This window comes from Homo sapiens, chromosome 6 (genome assembly GCF_000001405.40).
Source record: "Homo sapiens chromosome 6, GRCh38.p14 Primary Assembly".
NCBI classification, from domain to species: Eukaryota; Metazoa; Chordata; class Mammalia; order Primates; family Hominidae; genus Homo; species Homo sapiens.
In genome coordinates, this window is record NC_000006.12 from 11,157,203 (window position 1) to 11,177,339 (window position 20,137).

Consider the following 20,137-nt stretch of genomic DNA (forward strand, 5'->3'; position numbering starts at 1 on the left):
AATATCAAGATTGTCAAACTAGTTTGAAGAACAAAGCATAACTATATGCTACATTTTTGGATTTATTCCAAGAATAAAGCTTGATTAATACTTTAAAAACTAATCAGTTTAGCTCACTACATTAATGGAATGGGCAAGGAGGAAACATTTCTAAACTCTTTTTATGAAGCTAGCATAATGTGTCAAGGAAATTACAAAAAAGGGCATTCCTGAGTTAGTCTTTCTCATGGACATGGATGCAAAAATTCTAGACAAAATATTGGCAAATTGAACCCAGTGGTATATAAAAAGGATAATATGATACAGCTAACTTGGGTTTAAATAAGAATGCAAGGTTGGCTTAATATTTGAAAATCAATCAATGTAATTCCCCACATTAAGGAAAAAAGGGGAAAAAATCATATGATCATCTCAGATACAGAAGATATATTTGCTAAAAATTGACACCTATTTTTTATTTAGAAACTTTAAGCAAAAAAAGAAACTTTCAGCAAACCAGGAATAAAATAGATTTTTCAAAATCTGATAAAGTACTACAAAAATTATTCAGAAAACACTATACATAATGGTGAAATACTGAAAGTTTTACCTTGAATATGGAAACAACTAAAGAATGTCAACTCTTGCCATTTCTATTCTAGGTTGTACTGGAGTACTTTTCAAAAAGAAAAAAGTTGACAGTTAAATAAAAACTAATAAAATAGTTACTTATGGGGAGGGTAGAAGGGACATGAATGAGAGTGAACCTCTGTGAAAATAGCTTCTTATAAAACCCAATATATATTTATTATAATTAAAATACAAAAATTAAGTTTTAAAGAAGTGAAAATAATCAATAAAAATGGTAAATGAATGGAAACAAATGAACCTGTCTATCAAATTGGTGCAAGAGTCATAAAGAGGAAAATATTCCAAGTGAATTTAGGATATGGTAATTTGACTGTACATCTCAGATAATATATTCTAATGATGAGAATAACTACTAAAAAATCTCAAATGGCATTCAGTATCTAATTGTTAGTAGTAATATTGTCATTGTTGCTTGGAAACTGTTATATGAATGTTCAAACTGTTACTTTGAGACTGTTATATGACAAATAAATAATTATATTACTCCTAAAAGGAATCAAGGTTTTCAGTGTACAAGAAATGAGATCAAAGGATAAAATAAAAGAAAATAAGTAAAACTTTATTTTTTTATTTAAGTTAAAAATATAACTATGAATTTGTGGCTTTTCCCTTTTATTAAATAACAACACCACCATCTTATTTCCTAGCCTTGTCAAATATAGGATCTAGATGCAATAATTACTCATAGCACTGGTCACTTCTAATATCCAGATTGTGGTCTCTCAGTACTGTTTCCAACGTAAAGGAAATGAGTTTTTGGGAAACTGAATGATGCTAGGTCTGGGGCAGGAAAACACTAGTTGGATCTGGGGCACACTATTGCACCAGAAAGTGAGGAAGCAATCAAAGACTGGTGTGATTACATTAAAAGACCATAGGAATTAAGTAGAAGAAGCTCCCACTGGCCAAAAAATGGGAGAATTTGAGTTCACAAAGAGAATAATGACTGCGATTGATAGAAATATATCAAATATCTAAAAATCAGTAAGTTCAGAACAGGACAAGGGTGTCACTCTTTCCATTTCCACATTGTACCATAGAACATTCTGGCTAGGACAGCTAGGCAAAAAAAAAAAAAAAAAAAAAAAAAAGAAGATTCACATTGGTAAGTAAGAAGTAAAATTATTTATATTCACAAATGACATGATCTTGTATATTAAAAAGATCAAAGACTCTACCAAAAAACAATGAGAACTAACACACAAGTTCAACAGATCAATATAAAAAAATCAATTGTATTTCTATACAGTAGTAATAAATAGTCTGAAAATGAAATTAAGAAAACCATTCTCTTTACATGAGTGTCAAAATGAATAAAATACTTAGGAATAAATTTATTTTATTCCTAAGGAATAAAAGGAAGTACAAAACTCAAAACTTGTACACTGAAAACTACAAAACAGTATTGAAAAACATTAAAGAAGATTTAAATAAATGGAAAGGCACTCCATATTAACAGATTGAAAGACTTAATATTGTTGGGATGGCAATATTCCAGTTCATCTACAGATTCAACACAATTTCTATCAAAATTCATATGGGCATGGAAGGAAACCAGAATGGTCCAAATAATCTTTAAAAAGAACAAAACTGGTTACTCATATTTCCTGATTTCAAAACTTATTACAAAGCTATAGAAATCAAGACTGTTTTTTACTGTCATAAGGATAGACATATTGACCAATGAAATATAATTGAGAATCCAAAAATAAATTCATATGCTTATGGTCAATTGATTTTTGACAAAGCAGCCGAGACCATTTCATGGGAAAAGAATAGTCTTCAACAAATGCTGGAAGAACTGAATAACTGAATATCCACATGCAAAAAAATCAATTTGTACCCTGAAATCCTACCATACACAATAAAGTGAATCATGTATCTACATATAAAAGCTAAAATCATTAAACTCAGAAGAAAACACAGTAGTAACTCTTTATGATCTTGAATTAGGCAATGGTTTCTTAGTTATGGCAACAAAAGCACAAGGGATAAAAGAAAAGATTGATAAGTTGGACTTCATCAACATTAAAAAAATTTTGTGCTTCAAAGAATGCCATCAAGAAAGTGAAAAACAACACACAGAGAATATTCTCAAATCATGTATCTGAAAAGGGACTCATATCCAGACTATCTAAAGAATTCTTACAATAATAAAAGACACATAAGCCAATTAAAAAATGGGCAAACGATTTGAATAGATATTTTTCCAAAGGAGATAATGAATGAATAATGAGCACATGAAAAGATGCTCAGCATCACTGGTCATTAGAGAACTACAGCTAAAAACCCCAAGGAAATACTACTGCACACCCGCTGGAATGGCTGTCATAAAAAAAGACAGCCAGTAACAAGTGTTAGTGAGGATATGGAGAAAACTGGAACTTCATACATTGCCAGTGTGAATGTAAAAGGTGCAGTCCCTTTGGAAACGAGTTTGGCAGTTCCTCAAAATCTTAAACATAAAGTTACCATATAACCTAGCAATTCCACTCCTAGGAATCTACCCAAGAGAAATGAAAACATGTCCATACAAAAATTTGTACATGAATGTTCATAACAGCATTACTCACAATAGCCAAAAAGTGGATACAATCCAATGTCTATCAACTGATGAATAAACAAACTGTACCATATCCATGCAATAGGATATTACTCAGCAATAAAAGAACTGAATTACTTACATATGCTACAATATGGGTGAGTCCCAAAAACATAAGTGTCACAAAAGTCCACATATTGTGATCATTTATATGAAATATCAGAAAAGGTAAATCTTTTTTATCTTTTTTTTTGCTAGACTTTTAAAAGCAAAAATCTTGGTTTTACTCATCAATTCTACTTTTTGTTTGTTTTTAAATCCCTTACTTTTGTTTTTATCTCTACTAGTATTTCTACTTTGTTTTGGTTAATTTTGTTTTTTCTTACTTTTGAGTGAAAATGAATTAATTTGGTTTAGTTTCAAATTTCTAAATTTCCAGTTGCTTTTTGGAGGGTTCTGTCTTAATTTAAAATATGAATATGAAGACAGATACCTTCTTGAGAGACCTGAAAATGTTATTTCCAAATTCCAAATATGACACTGTATTATGTTGTTCTATTGAAAGAATCAATCTGAGATAATTCACATTAAAATATGAAGTTGGATCTGCAGGAGAGAAGATTGTAGTTAGTCTTGTAAATTTAAAAGTTGTCTTTCCATGAAAACATTAAGAAAAGCAGATGGCCATGTTTTGTTTCTATTATCCCTGCTTGAGCCTAGGATTATCCAAATTCCAATTTCCCAAAACTGCTAATACAAAAAAGGTATGCGCCTTCAAGGAACGTCTTTCCTTTAAAAACCTCATCCCACTCATCCAAAATCTTATTAAAGTCATTTGACAGCCTTCATTCTTTTTTGACCAATCAGTTCCCCAAGCTCAACCAACTTTGTTCAGAAACCTTTTACATTTCTTATTATGTGGGAAAATGATTCATTTTAATTGAAGAGAGCTTGTTCGGAATTTTCAAAATGAAATTTGAGCTCAGACAAAGAAAGCCTCAGACAGAAAGGGTAATTTTTCATCAACTACTGAAACCAGGGGACATAAAACGAATGTCTGTCTGTGCCCTTAGCATTCATGGTTTCTGCCATGGAACTGAATGCCCATTCTTCATTGTTGATCTGTGACTCAGCCCTTGTGCATGAATACTTGGATAGAACAGAGACACACAGCAGGGCAATTCTTCCCTAGTTTAAATTGTTTATGGTGCCTTTTGTACCTATAATTCACAATTTAAACATTCCTCTTAAGTGCATTTGTTTATATGCTACTCAGGCTTAACAATGGGCTTTTGAGAAGCTCTTATGTACTATTACACTACGAAATGTCTCCTTACCATAGAAAAGAAGGTGGTGGGGGAGTGGGGATGGGAATATGACCTTCTGCCCTGAGGACTTGTGCAAAGAACGCAGACTGACTGTGGGAATCTGGGGAAAGAAATGATTCCTCCAACAACTGAAGGAGGAGTGTGAAACAGGTGCTCCAATATTGAGGCTGTACAGGAGGAAAGAGCCTGGGCTCAGGAATGATACAGAGCACGAGGTGCTTCATGAATGTCGTGGAAGAGTTAGGCCGGTGAAGCACAGGTAAATGTGTGCCAGGCAGGAGAAACAGCAGAAACGATTTAGGAAGGTATGGCAGGTCTTGTGCGTGTAGAGGGGTTTCATGCAAGACTGAAGCAGGTGTGGAGAGGACGAGATGCAGGAGATGAGGTCCACTCAAGGAGGGTCTTGTAGGCCACACCAAGAGAGGGCATTGGGGTGCCCTTAGGGGGTGGCAGGATCATATCAGAATCGGGGGATTGTCTCCCTGAAGCAGGGTGGAGATCAGATGGGAAAGGGCAGGGTGTGTGGAATCAGGGAGGTCAGTTAGGAGGCCTTTGCAGTTGCCCAGCTTGCAATGATGGCACCTGGCAGTAAGGAAACAGCCATGGGAATAGTGAAAGTGAGCAGATCCTGTGATGTTAGAGGCTCACTTCTATTACTCTTGGCCGTTGGTTGGATATGGGGCCTGAAGGAATGGAATGATTTTCATTTCTGCCTTCACAAGCTGGGTGGATGGTAGTGCCTTTTGCTAGGCCAGACCACACAAGCAGAGGTTGTCTGCAAAATGCAGGCAGAGTGGTTATGCATGCTGGAAGGTATGGGAAAAGTGGACAAGGCTGGAGACAGATATATAAAACAAGACAAGCTGACCGAAAGCATGCTCAGCAGTCTTTGGCTCTCACAGAGTATGGAGACCATAACTGGCATGGCCTGCGTGGCTGTAGGATTTTTTTCCAGGCTCATGAGAGAGGTGGGTGCTGACTGATGCCCTGGCTTGGGCAGATGTCCCTCAGATCAGAGCAGGACATACTTAGATGCCAAAGTGTCCTATCCAACAATAGTCAAGAGATGTCCACCAATGTAGGAATAGATAAACAAAACATGGTATAAACATATCATGGAATATTATTCAGTCTTAAAAAGGAAGGAAATTCTGACCCATGCTAGAACATGAAGGGACCTTGAGGACATTATGCTATGATAGATAAGCTAGTCACGAAAAGACATATACTGTATGACTTCAAAATTCATAAAGACAGAAGGTGGAATGATGGTTGCCAAGGGCTGGGGCAGGGGAGAGTGGGGAGCTTCTAACAGGTTCAGAGTTTCAGCTTTGCAAGGTGAAAGTGTTCTGGAGGTCTGTGGCATAACAACGTGAATACAGTTAACACTACTGAACTGAACACTTTAAAATTTTCACCACAATTAAAAATTTAAAAAATTTTGGCTGGGCATGGTGGCTCAAGCCTATAATCCCAGCACTTTGGGAGGCCAAGGCAGGTGGATCACTTGAGGTCAGGAGTTCAAGACTAGCCTAGCCAAGATGGTGAAACCCCGTCTCTACTACAAATACAAAAATTAGCCCGGCATAGTGGTAGGTGCCTGTAATCCCAGCTACTCAGGAGGCTGAGGCGAAGAATCGCTTGAACATGGGTGGCAGAGGTTGCAGTGAGCCGAGATCGCACCACTGCACTCCAGCCTGAGCAAACAAGAGCGAAACGTCATCTAAAAAAAAATTTTTTTTTAAAGAAAGACATGCTATAAGCAATAAAGAAGTTTAGCTTGACTTACAACTACTCAGGAGGCTGAGGCAAGAGGATCTTTTGAACCTGGGAGTCTGAGGCTGCAGTGAGCTATGATTGTGCCACTGCACTCCAGTCTGGTGACAGAGGGAGACCAATCTTTAAAATGAATGAATGGGCCGGGTGCGGTGGCTCATGCCTGTAATCCCAGCACTTTGGGAGGCTGCGGCAGGTGGATCAACTGAGGTTAGGAGTTTGGGACCAGCCTGGCCAACAGGGTGAAACCCTGTCTTTACTAAAAATACAAAAATTAGCTGGGCATGGTGGCATTCACCTGTAGTCCCAGCTACTCAGGAGGCTGAGGCAGGAGAATCACTTGAACCCGGGAGGCGGAGGTTGCAGTGAGCAGAGATTGCACCACTGCACTCTAGCCTGGGAGACAGAGCAAGAGTCCATCTCAGAAAAAGTAAATAAATAAATAAAATGAATGAATAAATAAAATTTAAAAAAAATTAAAAGTGTCCTATGAATGCCTCTGAGTGGATAGTCTGCTTCCCTCTCACCTTGTTTGCCTTCACTGTGGTCCTGAGGCTGGCTCAGCCTGATGTCTGCTCTCCTGTCATCTGTTGACCGACTTTACCCGTGACCTGGGAATTCACACCTGCCTCCTGCAGAGGACAGGATGTTTTCTGTGGCCACTGCAGCACTGACTCAAATAGGGAGAGCATCTGGGTTTGCTCTCCCCACTTGTAGTTGGTGAATGACATGGAGGACTGATTCCTCTTGTTCCCTGCAGAAATCTATCTTGTGCTATTTAGCAAAAGCCACCTGCCAATGTATTTACACACCACCACATTTTATTAAGGGCTGAGAAAGGCTCAATGATGCATTCAGCCTTTTATAAATATTTCTTAAGATGAGCAAATCGGTACAAGAGGAACATAGGAGGGAAACATCAGGCCAGAGCTGCGATGGGTCCCTCCAATGCACAGCGTAAGGTCTTGTGCAAGTAGGAGAAGTGAGCCTTGCCTTTGACCCTGAGTGTCCTAGGGATCATAGCAATGAGAAAATCACACATGGAAATTAAATCTACCATGCTCATAAGACTCATTCAATAAATGCTTGTTAGCAGATATCCTATTCCAGGCACTTTTTGTCTGTGAGAACACAGCAGTGGATAAGACAGGCAAGTTTTCTTCTCTCGTGAGATCACATTTTAGGTGGAAGAAGGAAGAGAGAAAAAGGCAAGCGATGAGCATTCTGAGAGACTCTGGAGACCACTGTGTGCTGCGAGGTGGCTGGGGGGTACTTTGGACTGGGAAGTGTAGGTGGCTGGGCTTTGCGTGACGATAAGGGGGCTCCTGAGTGGCCGGGAGGGGAGCCGCAGGGCAGCAGGGTAGCTGGTGCAAAGGTCTTGAGGGGAATGCCTTTGGCTTATCTGAGAGACCAAGAAGATGCCCCCGTGGCTGGAATGTGGGAGGCGAGGTTGAGCTGAGGTCAGATGTCAGCGAGGCAAAGGGCAAAGAGGAGGACTGGCTGGCATTGAGCAGGTGAGGCGTGGGATGTGGTTCGTGTTTGTAAAGGCTCTCCTGGCTGCTGTGTGGGACTTGCATTGTATCCGGCAAGTGGGGAAACAAGGAGTCCAGGTGAAAGGCCTTGGCTACTGTCGAGGACAGAGACGCCAGCAGTTTGGAGCAGGCTGGTGGACTAGGTAAGCTCCCTTAGGGAGAACAGAAGGGGCCACAGAAGCAAGCCTTGGGCCCTGCAGCAACCAACACAGCCATTCAGGAGAGCTTGGCTTTAATTTCTCAAGGGGATCCTTAGAAAGAGACACTGGTGTGTAGCTGAATACTTAAAAGCATCACTCCCTCCTCCCTTCTTCCTGCTGCACCTTCCTCGGCTTCTCCCATGCTCGTGGGGTGCAGACCTGACATATCTTTTGTGGCGTGGCAACCAAGGAGTCCTCAGCCGTCACCACGACTGATGCAAAACCCAAGGAGGGTCAAAACAGGAAATGACATCAAATTCATTAGAAGGAGGTAGGATGGGATCATTCTGTTGAAGAGGAGACACAGAGCACTAGTGACTAAATATAAACCTAGTGTGAAGGCCAGGATTTGTCACCGAGGCTGATCATATTCTAATTTGGTGGGCGGATAATCAATGAAACAGATGCACCTGCACAGTTGGAAATGAAGGATGAAAATGCACATGATAGGCCGGGAGCGGTAGCTCACGTCTGTAATCCCAGCACTTTGGGAGGCCGAGGCAGGTGGATCATTTGAGGTCAGGAGTTCGAGACCAGCCTGGCCAACATGGTGAAACCGCGTCTCTACTAAAAATACAAAAATTAGCCAGGTGTAGTGGAGCGCACCTGTCATCCCAGCTACTTGGGAGGCTGAGACAGGAGAATCGCTTGAGCCTGGTAGGTGGAGGTTGTGATGAGCCGAGACTGCACCACTGCACTCCAGCCTGGGCGATAGAGTGAGACTCCGTTTCAAAAAAAAAAAGAAAATGCACATGATTCACTACCTTACACCAGAACCCACAGACACAAAAACACTCTCAGTTAGCAAATTACAGTTGGAGCCCAGCCCATCCTGACTTGTACACATAATTCTCTCTATCCCATCATTTGTTCTCTCCCTTCACTGTACATCAAGTAACTGACATATGTGATCAGATCTATTGTATAACACTATTATTATTTTTTTAACTAAATGGCTAGTGATATAGACAATAAAAGAAAATGAGGTAGAGAAAAACCTTCTTATGAAAGAACCCCTTAGGCCGGGCATGGTGGCTCATGCCTGTAATCCTAGCACTTTGGGAGGCCGAGATGGGCAGATCACCTGAGATCAGGAGTTTGAGACCAGCCCGGCCAACATGGTGAAACCCCGTCTCTACTAAAAATCCAAAAATTAGCCAGGCATGATGGTGTGCTCTTGTAATCCCATCTTCTCAGGAGGCTGAGGCAGCAGAATCACTCGAACCCGGGAGGCAGAGGTTTCAGTGAGCCGAGATCGCACCACTGCACTCCAGCCTGGGTGACAGAGCAAGACTCTGTCTTGGAAAAAAAAAAAAAGAATGCATTAGTGGTGTGCTTGTTCCACTTTTATTTTTGTTTCCCATTTAGTTTTTTACTTTCATTGTTTGACAAACAATAGCAATGACAACAACAGACTCCTCTGCATACTTATTTGATTAGAGAATTCCAATATGTTTCAATTATCATTGTGAAATCAAGGAGACTCATGACTTTTTGTACACAGCTGTTACATGTACGGCAATCAGTTTTTAAGGTGGGATAAATTTCTCTAAAATAAATGATCCTAGATAGCTTTCCTTCAAGTCAAGTGTCTTGCTGTTTAAATCCATTTCTTGTTTAAAGTAATAATATAAAAAAGTTCATCACTTTATCAACAGAACAGTGAAACTATTTCTTATAACAGGAGCAGGGCTGTCATATCATGTCAGAGAGTAAGAGGAATTCTATGAGATTTAAGAGGCCAAGACAGTGTGGTCCAGGTGCAAACTCATGGGTGGATTGGCTTGATCAGGATAAAGCTTAGCATAGCTAGAGGGATGGATGAGTTGTAAATCTTTGCAGAAACCTCTGTGAACGTTCATCACACTTCTTCGATGCAGTCACCTTGACCTGCCATCCACCTGGATGCTTTAGGTAGTAATCTTCCTGGAATCTGGAGGTTTAACCATGTGGCTTCCCAAAGATGCCTGCAGCTACCTGACCCTGGGAGGTTTGAAGACAGTGCTCACTCAGGCCCTGCCGACAGGAAGGCTTTCCCGGCCAAATGGCCAGAGACTTTGGGAGCTTTCAAAAGAAACTCTTAGTTGCCCCAACTCTGCTCTCCTCCAGGAAAAAATTACTGTAGAAGCCAAAGATAGGCAGTTTTTGCCTTTCCTTTTCCACGTGTTTGGTATGTAATAAGTCATTCTCCTGTGAGGTTTAATTACTTTGCATCCTATAGCAAGGCTAGGCCATATAGGATATTATCATATTTCCCCCCTTGATTTCCTGAAAGCTCAGTATTATACCAAAGATGTGTTTGGAAGATTACCGAGTAGTTATTTTATCTGTGCTTATTTTAACTCAATATCTACTTAATATATCTCACGGCTTTTGCAAAAGTGAAATGCGTGAGTAGCTTAAGCTCGCCCACGTTTCCAACCCTGCTTGATCAACTGTACTTGATTCTGCTTGGTCACCCAACAATTAACACACACTTCATGCTCGATCTATGAAAACGTTGACTTAACATTATTTTAGTCAGTCAGCAGATCCCAAGAGGAAATTCTTAGATTTGGAAAATTTTTGTGTGCTTCTTTTGTTTTCAATTTCAGAATGGTGGCAATATATTTGTTAAACATTTATATGAAGCTGACTATGTGCCAGACCCTGTTCTCAATGCTTTGTAAAGTTTAATTTGTAATTTTCAGTCTTCTAACAAGTCTGTGATACAGCGACTATGATTATGCCCATTTTATTGGTGAGGAGATCAAGATCTGCAGAGAGTGAAGTAGCTCATTGAAGAGCCAGAGATGAGATTTAAACCCAGGTTCTATTACTGAGGCCAAACTCTTCTAGATGAGATTGAACTGCTGTTGTTGTTGTTTTGACTTTTCATTTGGAAATAATTCCAAATTTTCAGAAAAGCTTTGAGACTAACAATAGCACACACCCTTTACTGAGATCCACTTACTGTTAACACAGATAAAATTGCTTTTCTAAAACACGCATGCCTATATAGTCACCTTTACCCTAGAATACTTGAGTGCATCTTTGCTAAGAATAGGAATATTCTCTTACAGAACCACCGAGTATTTATCCACTTGAGTAAATTTAACATTGATTTAATTTATTCAATGGTAGTCTGTATTTCCATGATGACAGTTGACCCAATAATGCCCTTTCTTATTTCCTCTGGGATGGGATCCAGTCTAGGGCCCGACATTTGGATCTAGTTGTCATGTCTGTCTGGCCTCCTTTAATCAGAAACATTCCCACAGCCTTCCTTTATCTTTCATAACAATGACAGGCAGCAGAATAAGTTTCCCTGTGCCTTTTAAAGACAGAACAAATGTTCTTCATTGTGTTTGTCTGATGTTTCCTCACGATGAGGCGAGAAAATGAAATACTGCGTAAGTGATCCTGCATCCGTCTCAAAAAAGGTCTCATTTCTGGAGACACTGATGTCCTTCTCACCTCATTGGCGGTGTTGATTTTGATCATTCCTCCCCTCCAGGGCGTTGACTGATTTCCCCATGGTGTAAATTACTAGTTTTCCTTTGCATCTAATAAGCAGCCTGTGGGGAGCCTGAAATATGTTTCTTGCCAGGTGGAGGCACGGTCATAAGGAGCAGTGTGTGTGTGTGAGGATGGAGAGAAGCCCTTCCCTTCTAGGGGAACGTGAGGAGAGTGGAGGGTGCACTTCCTCCACCTGCAGCTGGAAAGTCTGTGCGCCTTTCAGTGATGAAGCTTACAGATGGATGTTGCAGGGCTTTGGGTAGGGCCTGGACCAGGCTCCAGGTAGAGTATTTCGGGCTTGGATGTTTTCAGGCACCAATAAGTCAAGCTTGCATTGATGATATTACAAAGTGGCAGAGGTGCCTCCTGAATGAAAAAGAAATGGAATCCTAACCCTGACTTCTGTCTTTGAGGGTCAAACATATAAAAACATGTCTGATGCCGGATTTCTGGGAAGGGCATTGGTTTCTGGAGGGGAGATTGATAATGGCAGAGATGGAAGTCTGGGCCAGTTTCACACCAGAGGCAGGGGGAAGTTGCAAGGAAAGATTGATTTAGGGTGTGAAATTGCCAACAGATGAAGTTGTTCCACCTGGCACCCTGGTGGTGGATGTATATGGAAGAAAACTTGCTATGAGCCGCAGTTCTGGAGCCCCTCCCTTTCTACTGTGGAACATATTGGCTCAGCACACGGAGGAGCAGAGCCCATGCTTCTTTATACATTCAGAGAGCATCAGAGCTCTCACATGTGGCTAATCACATGTAATCAAAGATAGTAGCTAAAGGCTGGGCGCAGTGACTCATGCCTGTAATCCCAGCACTTTGGGAGGCTGAGGTGGGCGGATCACTTGAGGTCAGAAGTTTGAGACCAGCCTGGCCAACATAGTGAAACCCTGTCTCTACCAAAAATATTTTTTTAAAAATTAGCTGGGTGTGGTGGTGTGCACCTGTAGTCCCAGCTACTTGGGAAGCTGAGGCAAGAGAATCGCTTGAACCCTGGAGGCAGAGGTTGCAGTGAGCCAAGATCGTGCCACTGTACTCCAGTCTGGGCGACAGAGTGAGACTCCATCTCAGGAAAAAAAAAAAAAAAAAAGATAGTAGCTAAAAAAGAGAGGATGAGGAATAATTTTGAGGAATAATTTAGGTAGAAAAGATGGTATGGAGAGAAAATGTAAAACCCAGATGGACCCATAAGTTACTAGTTACTGATATTGGGCATCAAATTTGTCTCTGACCTTTACAGTAAAGGAAAACATGATCAGTTAATTGCAAAAATCTTGTTTCCATGAGAAAAAGCATATCAATTACTCAGGACAAATGAAATATCCCCTGATGCTTAAATATGAATACGTTTGCCTATAATTTGCTCATTGATCATAAAACTTTTCTTTTGTTTCGCCTTCTGTCCATTTTCTCTATAATTGTTGTTTTGCTTGCTGGTGCAATGGTTGAAAGGCCTATAGATGCTGTAAGTGCTGAAGATCTGAGGATGAGGATCTGAGGATGAGGATGGGATGTACTGAAAGTGTTGGGTCATGTTGACAGAGAGCATGGGGTGATTAACGTCACAGTCATCCCAAACCATGGATTCTAAATCTAGGGACAGGTTTTGGCCTGGTTACAGCAACTTTGCAAAGGAGTATATTGCAGCTGAGATCACCCGGGGAACTATGAAACAAGCAATAAAACAAAAGATCTTCAAGGAACACTGAGAAGGGGACTTGTAGGGATCTGCTGTGCAGCGCAAATCCAACCTCAGGAGCTTACAGCAGAGAAATCACATAGACATTCAACGAGAACAACCAAAGTTACTAAAGTAATTGTGGAAAAAGGTTATATAAAGGGGAAACAATACAACAGTAACTCATGGGCACTACATCCTGCCTTTTGAAGGAATTTTATTTTTAGTTATTGTTAAGGATCCTGCAATGTTCTTTTTCCTTTAAAGGGCTCCTCCAAGCCAGGCGTGGTGGCTCACGCCTGTAATGCCAGCACTTTGGGAGGCCGAGGCAGGCGGATCACTTGAGGTCAGGAGTTCAAGACCAGCCTGGCCAACATGGTGAAACCCCGTCTCTACTAAAAATACAAAAATCAGGGGGACGTGGTGGCAGGAGCCTGTAATCCAAGCTACTCGGGAGGCTAAAGCAGTGAGGAGGCACAAGTTGCGGTGAGCCGAGATGGCGCTGAGAGGTGACAGCCTGCTGGCAGCCCTCACAGCCCTCGCTCACTCTCAGCACCTCCTCGGCCTTGGCGCCCACTTCGGCGGCACTCGAGGAGCCCTTCAGCCCACCGCTGCACTGTGGGAGCCCCTTCCTGGGCTAGCCGAGGCGGGAGCCGGCTCCCTTAGCTTGCAGGGAGGTGTGGAGGGAGAGGGGCGGGCGGGAACCGGGGCTGCGCGCGGTGCTTGCGGGCCAGCGTGAGTTCCGGGTGGGTGTGGGCTCGGTGGGCCCCGCACTCGGAGCGGCCTGCCAGCCCCGGGCAATGAGGGGCTCAGCACCCGGGCCAGCGGCTGCGGAGGGTGTGCTGGGTCCCCCAGCAGTGCTGGCCCACCGGCGCTGTTCTCGATTTCTCGCCGGGCCTTAGCTGCCTCCCTGCGGGGCAGGGCTCGGGACCTGCAGCCTGCCATGCCTGAGCCTCTCCCCCACGCCCGTGAGCTCCTGTGCGGCCGAGCCTCCCCGACGAGCGGCGCCCCTGCTCCACGGCGCCCAGTCCCATCGACCACCCAAGGGCTGAGGAGTGCGCGCACACCGCACGGGACTGGCAGGTAGCTCCACCTGCGGCCCCGTGCGGGATCCACTGGGTGACGCCAGCTGGGCTCCTGAGTCTGGGCGGGACTTGGAGAACCTTTATGTCTAGCTAAGGGATTGTAAATACACCAATCGGCACTCTGTATCTAGCTACTCTTGTGGGGACTTGGAGAACCTTTGTGTCCACACTCTGTATCTAGCTAATCTAGTGGGGAGGTGGAGAACCTTTGTGTCTAGCTCAGGGATTGTAAACGCACCAATCAGCGCCCTGTCAAAACAGACCACTCGGCTCTCTGTAAAATGGACCAATCAGCAGGATGTGGGTGTGGCCAGATAAGAGAATAAAAGCAGGCTGCCTGCACCAGCAGTGGTAACCCGCTCGGGTACTTTTCTGTACGGGTGTCTTTCCACGCTGTGGAAGCTTTGTTCTTTTGCTTTTTGCAGTGAAGTTTGCTACTGCTCAGTCTTTGGGTCCACACTGCCTTTATGAGCTATAACACTCACTGTGAAGGTCTGCAGCTTCACTCCTGAAACCAGCAAGACCACGAACCTACTGGGAGGAACGAGCAACTCCAGACGGGCAGCCTTAAGAGCTGTAACACTCACTGCGAAGGTCCACAGCTTCACTCATGCGCCAGTGAGACCACAAACCCCACCAGAGGGAAGAAGCTCTGAACACATCCGAACATCAGAAGGAACAAATTCCAGACACGCTGCCTTTAAGAACTGTAACACTCACCGCGAGGATCCGCGGCTTCATTTTTGAAGTCAGTGAGACCAAGAACCCACCAATTCCGGACACAGCTCCACTGCAGTCCAGTCTTGAGTGTCTGAGGCAGACTCCGTTTAAAAAAAAAAAAAAAGGATCCTCCAATGTGGGATGGGGGTGGAGGAGCTTGGAGGTGGATTCATTCCTTTGGGTTCAGTTAGCCAGTCAACAAACATGAATTGAACTCTTTGTGTTAGTTAGGTAGTGAGATGGGAAAGATGAACTCATGGTCCAAGATGCCCTGTGTCTGAAATATACAAGAGGCTAGGGAGATGTGCAGCAAGGAAGTAATCGTACTGCTACGTGGTTGTGGAGCGCTTAAGAATTATTTTGAATGCTTATTTTCACAACAGCGAATCAGGTCTGCACTAGCATTCCTATTTCCCAGGCACGTTAGAGATGAAATCGGTTGTAAAAACCAATTGTCCTCCACCTTTCATTTCCCATCAGACCACAAGGGGGCGCCGTGCGAGGCGAACACAGCCTTAGATCTGCAAAATGCTGGTCGCTGCGTGAGGGGCTTCAAAACATCCTAGGTGGTGCCCAAAGACCTTGTTGCCTGAGCTGAATAGGTGCTAGCTATTTGCACTGTCAGCGCTCTAAAGGATTTCTGGGGGCCCCCTTTCAACGGGAAGCCACCTGGTACGTGTAAACACCCACAAGTTCACTCCCCTTTGCAAGGGGCAGAGGACCTAGTAACTTTTCTCTAGAGCGCTCTCCTCTGCATACAGGTCCCTACATGTCCCCTTCTCAGTGCTCTTTGCAGATCTTTTGTTTTCTTGCTTGTTGATTTTTCTTTTGCAAACAGGATTGGGGGACCCATTATTTATCCAAAACCTTCTTTTGTCAAATCGTAGGTCCTTTCCAGTGTAGACTGGATGTCTAGACAGAGAGGTAGAAATAATTGCCCAAGGGCAAGGACAGCCTTCACTAAGTTGTCCATTTACATCTTTACATCATTCTAAAAATACACCCACACCAGCCCTTTGTCTTGATATTTTAACATTGGGCAAGGCTGAAATAAGTTACTTCTCTGACCACTGTTTAAAATGTCTCATTCACAACCATTGTTCTTGGAGACTTCAACTTCTTTAATAGGAATTTAAGTCACAAAGGGCCCAGATGGTTCTGAAAAAAAAACCCGTTAGGCTGCCTGGGTCATAAAGAAGGCTCATAAACTGCGCTTGGATGATGACTGGGTGAGGGGCTGTGTGGGGGATAGACAATGTCTGGTGTCTGGTGGTCTCCTGACTGCCAGGCAGGCCAGAGAAAATTAGGGGTATGTTTTCATTTAACATCATTCCCTGCTGACTCTTGTCTCTCTGGAAAATTGACAGTTAGGAGACAAAGTAAGGTGCCCTTTTTGTTAACTCAGTTTTCTTAATTATAGTTGTTGGGAGATGACTTAAATCATGCTGTGAGGTATGGTGGTGGTTCCTGCCCCTCAATGCCCCCTCCCAGGCTGCAGAGGAATTTGCTTTAGAGATTGGTAATAGTTGAGTCTGAGATGAAGGTCAGTCAGTGTGCTGAAGCTTTTCAGTTGCCCTTGTAGAGGTTTCTCCCCCTGCAGGCTGGCCTCTACTCATTAAAACCTTTTCTTTCTTTCTTTGTTTCTTTCCTTCCTTCTTTCTTTTCCTTTTTCTTTCTTTCTTTCTTTCTTTTCTTTCTCTCTTTTTTTCTTTCTTTTCTTCTTTCCTTCGTTCGTTCGTTCTTTTTTTTTTTTTTTTTTTTTCTGAGTCTCACTCTGTTGCCCAGGCTGGAGTGCAGTGGTGCGATCTTGGCTCACTGCAACCTTCGTCTCCCAGGTTCAAGCGATCCTCCTGCCTCAGCCTCCTGAGTAGCTGGGACTACAAGCTCCCGCCACCATGCCTGGCTAATTTTTGTATTTTTAGTAGAGACAGATTTCACTATGTTAGCCAGGCTGGTCTTGAACTCCTGACCTCATGATCCCCCCGCCTTGGCCTCCCAAAGTGCTGGGATTATAGGCGTGAGCCACCGTGCCTGGCCTAGAACTATTTCAAGGCTGTTTTTCTCTTTTCTTTTCCTTCTTTTTTCCCAACCATAAAATAAGCATGTGCCTACACATCCACGCCCTAGGAGGAAGTAAAGTGGGCTTAACTTAGCCTCCTCCAGATAAGAGTCTGGAGGTTCTTGCCCAATGTTGCTCCTCCCTCATGCGCTTTGCTCAGTGCCAGGGAGGGGGAGTGCAGTAAGTGTGGATTGCACCCCAGGCTGGTTCCATGGAGATGGAAATAGCGTTGGCACATCCTAGCTCATGAATGGATCCACATCCATCCAGATGCCCAGCCAAGAAGCCCTTCCCCGGGCTCCTCATCATCATGCACCAGGTGCTGTTCATCACTTTTCCTACGGACTTGCCCTCCCACGTCCCTGGAACCTATCTGCATCTCCCCATCTCCACTCCTCCATTCTAATCCAACGTATCTTCACTGCTTCTCCTAGAACTGATTCAATGCCCTCCTAACTGAACTGCCAGGATCCACATGGCCCCTCTTCACCACTCTCCACACTGCAGCCAGGGAGCTATTTTCAGAGCAAAAATATGATGGTGTCATATAGCTGTTTAAAATTCTTTAATTAGGCCAGGTGCAGTGGCTCACACTTATAAGCCCAACATTTTGGGAGGCTGAGGGTGGAGGATCTCTCAAAGCTAGGAGTTTGAGACAAGCCTGGGCAACACAGATATCTGTCTCTCCAAAAAAAAAAAAAAAAAAAAAAAAAATTAGCTGGGCATAGTGTCATACACCTGTAATCCTAGCTACTTGGGAGGCTGAGATGGGAGGATTGCTTGAGCCCAGGAGTTCAGGCTGCTGTGAACTAGGGTCTTGCCATTGCACTTCAGCCTGGGCAATAGAGCAAGACTTGTCTCTTAAAGAATAAAAATAGGGCCAGGCGTGCTGGCTCACGCCTGTAATCCCAGCACTTTGGGAGGCTGAGATGGCGGATCACAAGGTCAGGAGTTCAAGACCAGCCTGGCCAACATGGTGAAACCCCATCTCTACTAAAAACAGAAAAATTAGCCGGGCGTGGTGGTGTAGGCCTGTGGTCGCAGCTACTCGGGAGGCTGAGGCAGGAGAATCACTTGAGCCTGGGAGGTGGAGGTTGCAGTGAGCCAAGATCACACCACTGCACTCCAGCCTGGGTGACAGAGCTTTTGTCTCAAAATAAATAAATAAATAAATAAATAAATAAATAATCTTTCAATCATTTAATGTGGCCTTGAAGGCCTTGCATGGCCAGGTACCTGCCACTTCTTCAGCCTCATTTCTCACCATTCTCCCACTTCTCTGCTGTGCGCCAGGCACACTGGACTCTTCCTGGTCCTAGAACACAGCAGGATCCTGGGGTTCTCAGGGCCTTTGTCCTTACTCCTACTTCTGCTTGGAATGTCCTTTCCCAGCTTTGCTTAGATAAAGTCCATTCACTCATCAGATCTCACATCAAACATCTTTTCCAGAAGAAAGCCATCCCTGCTCCCCACACTACTTTAGGATGCGCCAATATTCCCTCTTATGGAGCTATGTATCTTGACTTCATAGTGTTTCATAGAGTTGCGCTTTTCTTTTCTTTTTTGACAAAACCAACATTTTTTTTTCACTCACCAGATTGGAAGTTTCATAAAGCAAGGGATGTATTAAATTTTTATTGCTTCCCTTGTACCCTCAGTGCCAGGTACATAATAGGTGTTCAATAAATATTTGCAGAACAAATGAATGATTGAAGTTGTATTGATAGTAGTGCAAACTTGGAGGAGAGGCTAATAAAGCCTGTCCAAAATATACCACCCACCAGGTGTGTATAACTTACTCTCTGCCTTTCCTGACTTGTATTTTGAATGTCAGAGATGAAGGTGAATAACAATGAGTAAATAGGATGAAAGAACAGAAAAATCAAAGATACTCAGGAATGACTGAGTGGCCCAGAGAGGCTGTTCAGGAGAATTCATGAAAGGATATAGTAGGAAATGAGAGTGAAAGAGCCATTTGGGGTTAGATCATGATGGGCCTTAAAAGCCACATCATATACTTTAAAGTGTTAGACTTTAGAGAAAGAATAATAGCACATAAGTGATGCTGTACTAGAAACAAGCTGTGGTCTCACTATATTTACTGTAAAGATGATATGTCATGATGCTGTATGATTTACTGTGTTATATAACCCGTTATGAAGACCCTGGTGAGAAATCTCTCTGAGGTCCCAGTATGGGAAACAGTGGGCTTGATTTCATTTTATGGATACTTATAAATCATATAACGGATTTCATTTTCCTTCCTTCCTTCCTTCTTTCTTTCTTTTTCTTTTTCTTTTTTGAGATGGAGCCTTGCTTAGTCGCCCAGGCTGGAGTGCAGTGGCGTGATCTTGGCTTACTACAACCTCCGCCTCCCAGGTTCAAGCAATTCTCCTGCCTCAGCCTCCCGAGAGTAGCTGGGATTACAGGCTCCCACCACCACGCCCAGCTAATTTTTGTATTTTTTAGTAGAGATGGGGTTTCACCATGTTGGCCAGTCTGGTCGTGAACTCCTGACCTCAGGTGATCTGCCCACCTTGGCCTCCCAAAGTGTTGGGATTACAGGCGTGAGCCACCGCACCCGGCCGGATCTCATTTTCTTTATCTCATGGGCTGTCCAGAAAACTCAAGGCCAAAGTTCACAGGCCTTTGCAACATGCATTTTGTGTATGAACTATGTTAACAGCTACGTCTTATTTTTTTTACCTTTATTTTCTTTTTATTCAGTTGTCTTCTTCTAAAACGAAAATATTGTATGCACCTTAGTCTTTGTGGGGAGAAAGAGACTAGTTATATGAATTAATAAATAATGTGAGTATTTTACTATTAGGAAAATTAATTGCAAAGAGGACCATATTCAAAATCACATACAAATGTCATAATATTTAAAATTGCACGCGAATATCTTTTGTCCATGCCTCTTACCTGATTTGGGGTAAAGCTACCAGCTAAACCCTGCTCAGGTCATGACTGTAATGCAATTACCCAGAGAATATCCTTTGTACACTTTTCTACCTGCAGCTCCCAGAGTGCTTGTGTGGTATAGGGAAAGGGCTACTTCCATTTTCCAGCCTTGAAACTTGGGC

General features: G+C 43.0%; 1 annotated feature.

The window, feature by feature from the left end:
* Window positions 15,354-15,648: an enhancer, noted in NCBI's record as "tiled region #2452; K562 Activating DNase unmatched - State 12:CtcfO". NCBI's record gives its function as "activates a minimal TATA promoter and a strong SV40 promoter by Sharpr-MPRA in K562 cells {active_cell/tissue: K562}" and the evidence as "EXISTENCE:reporter gene assay evidence [ECO:0000049][PMID:27701403]".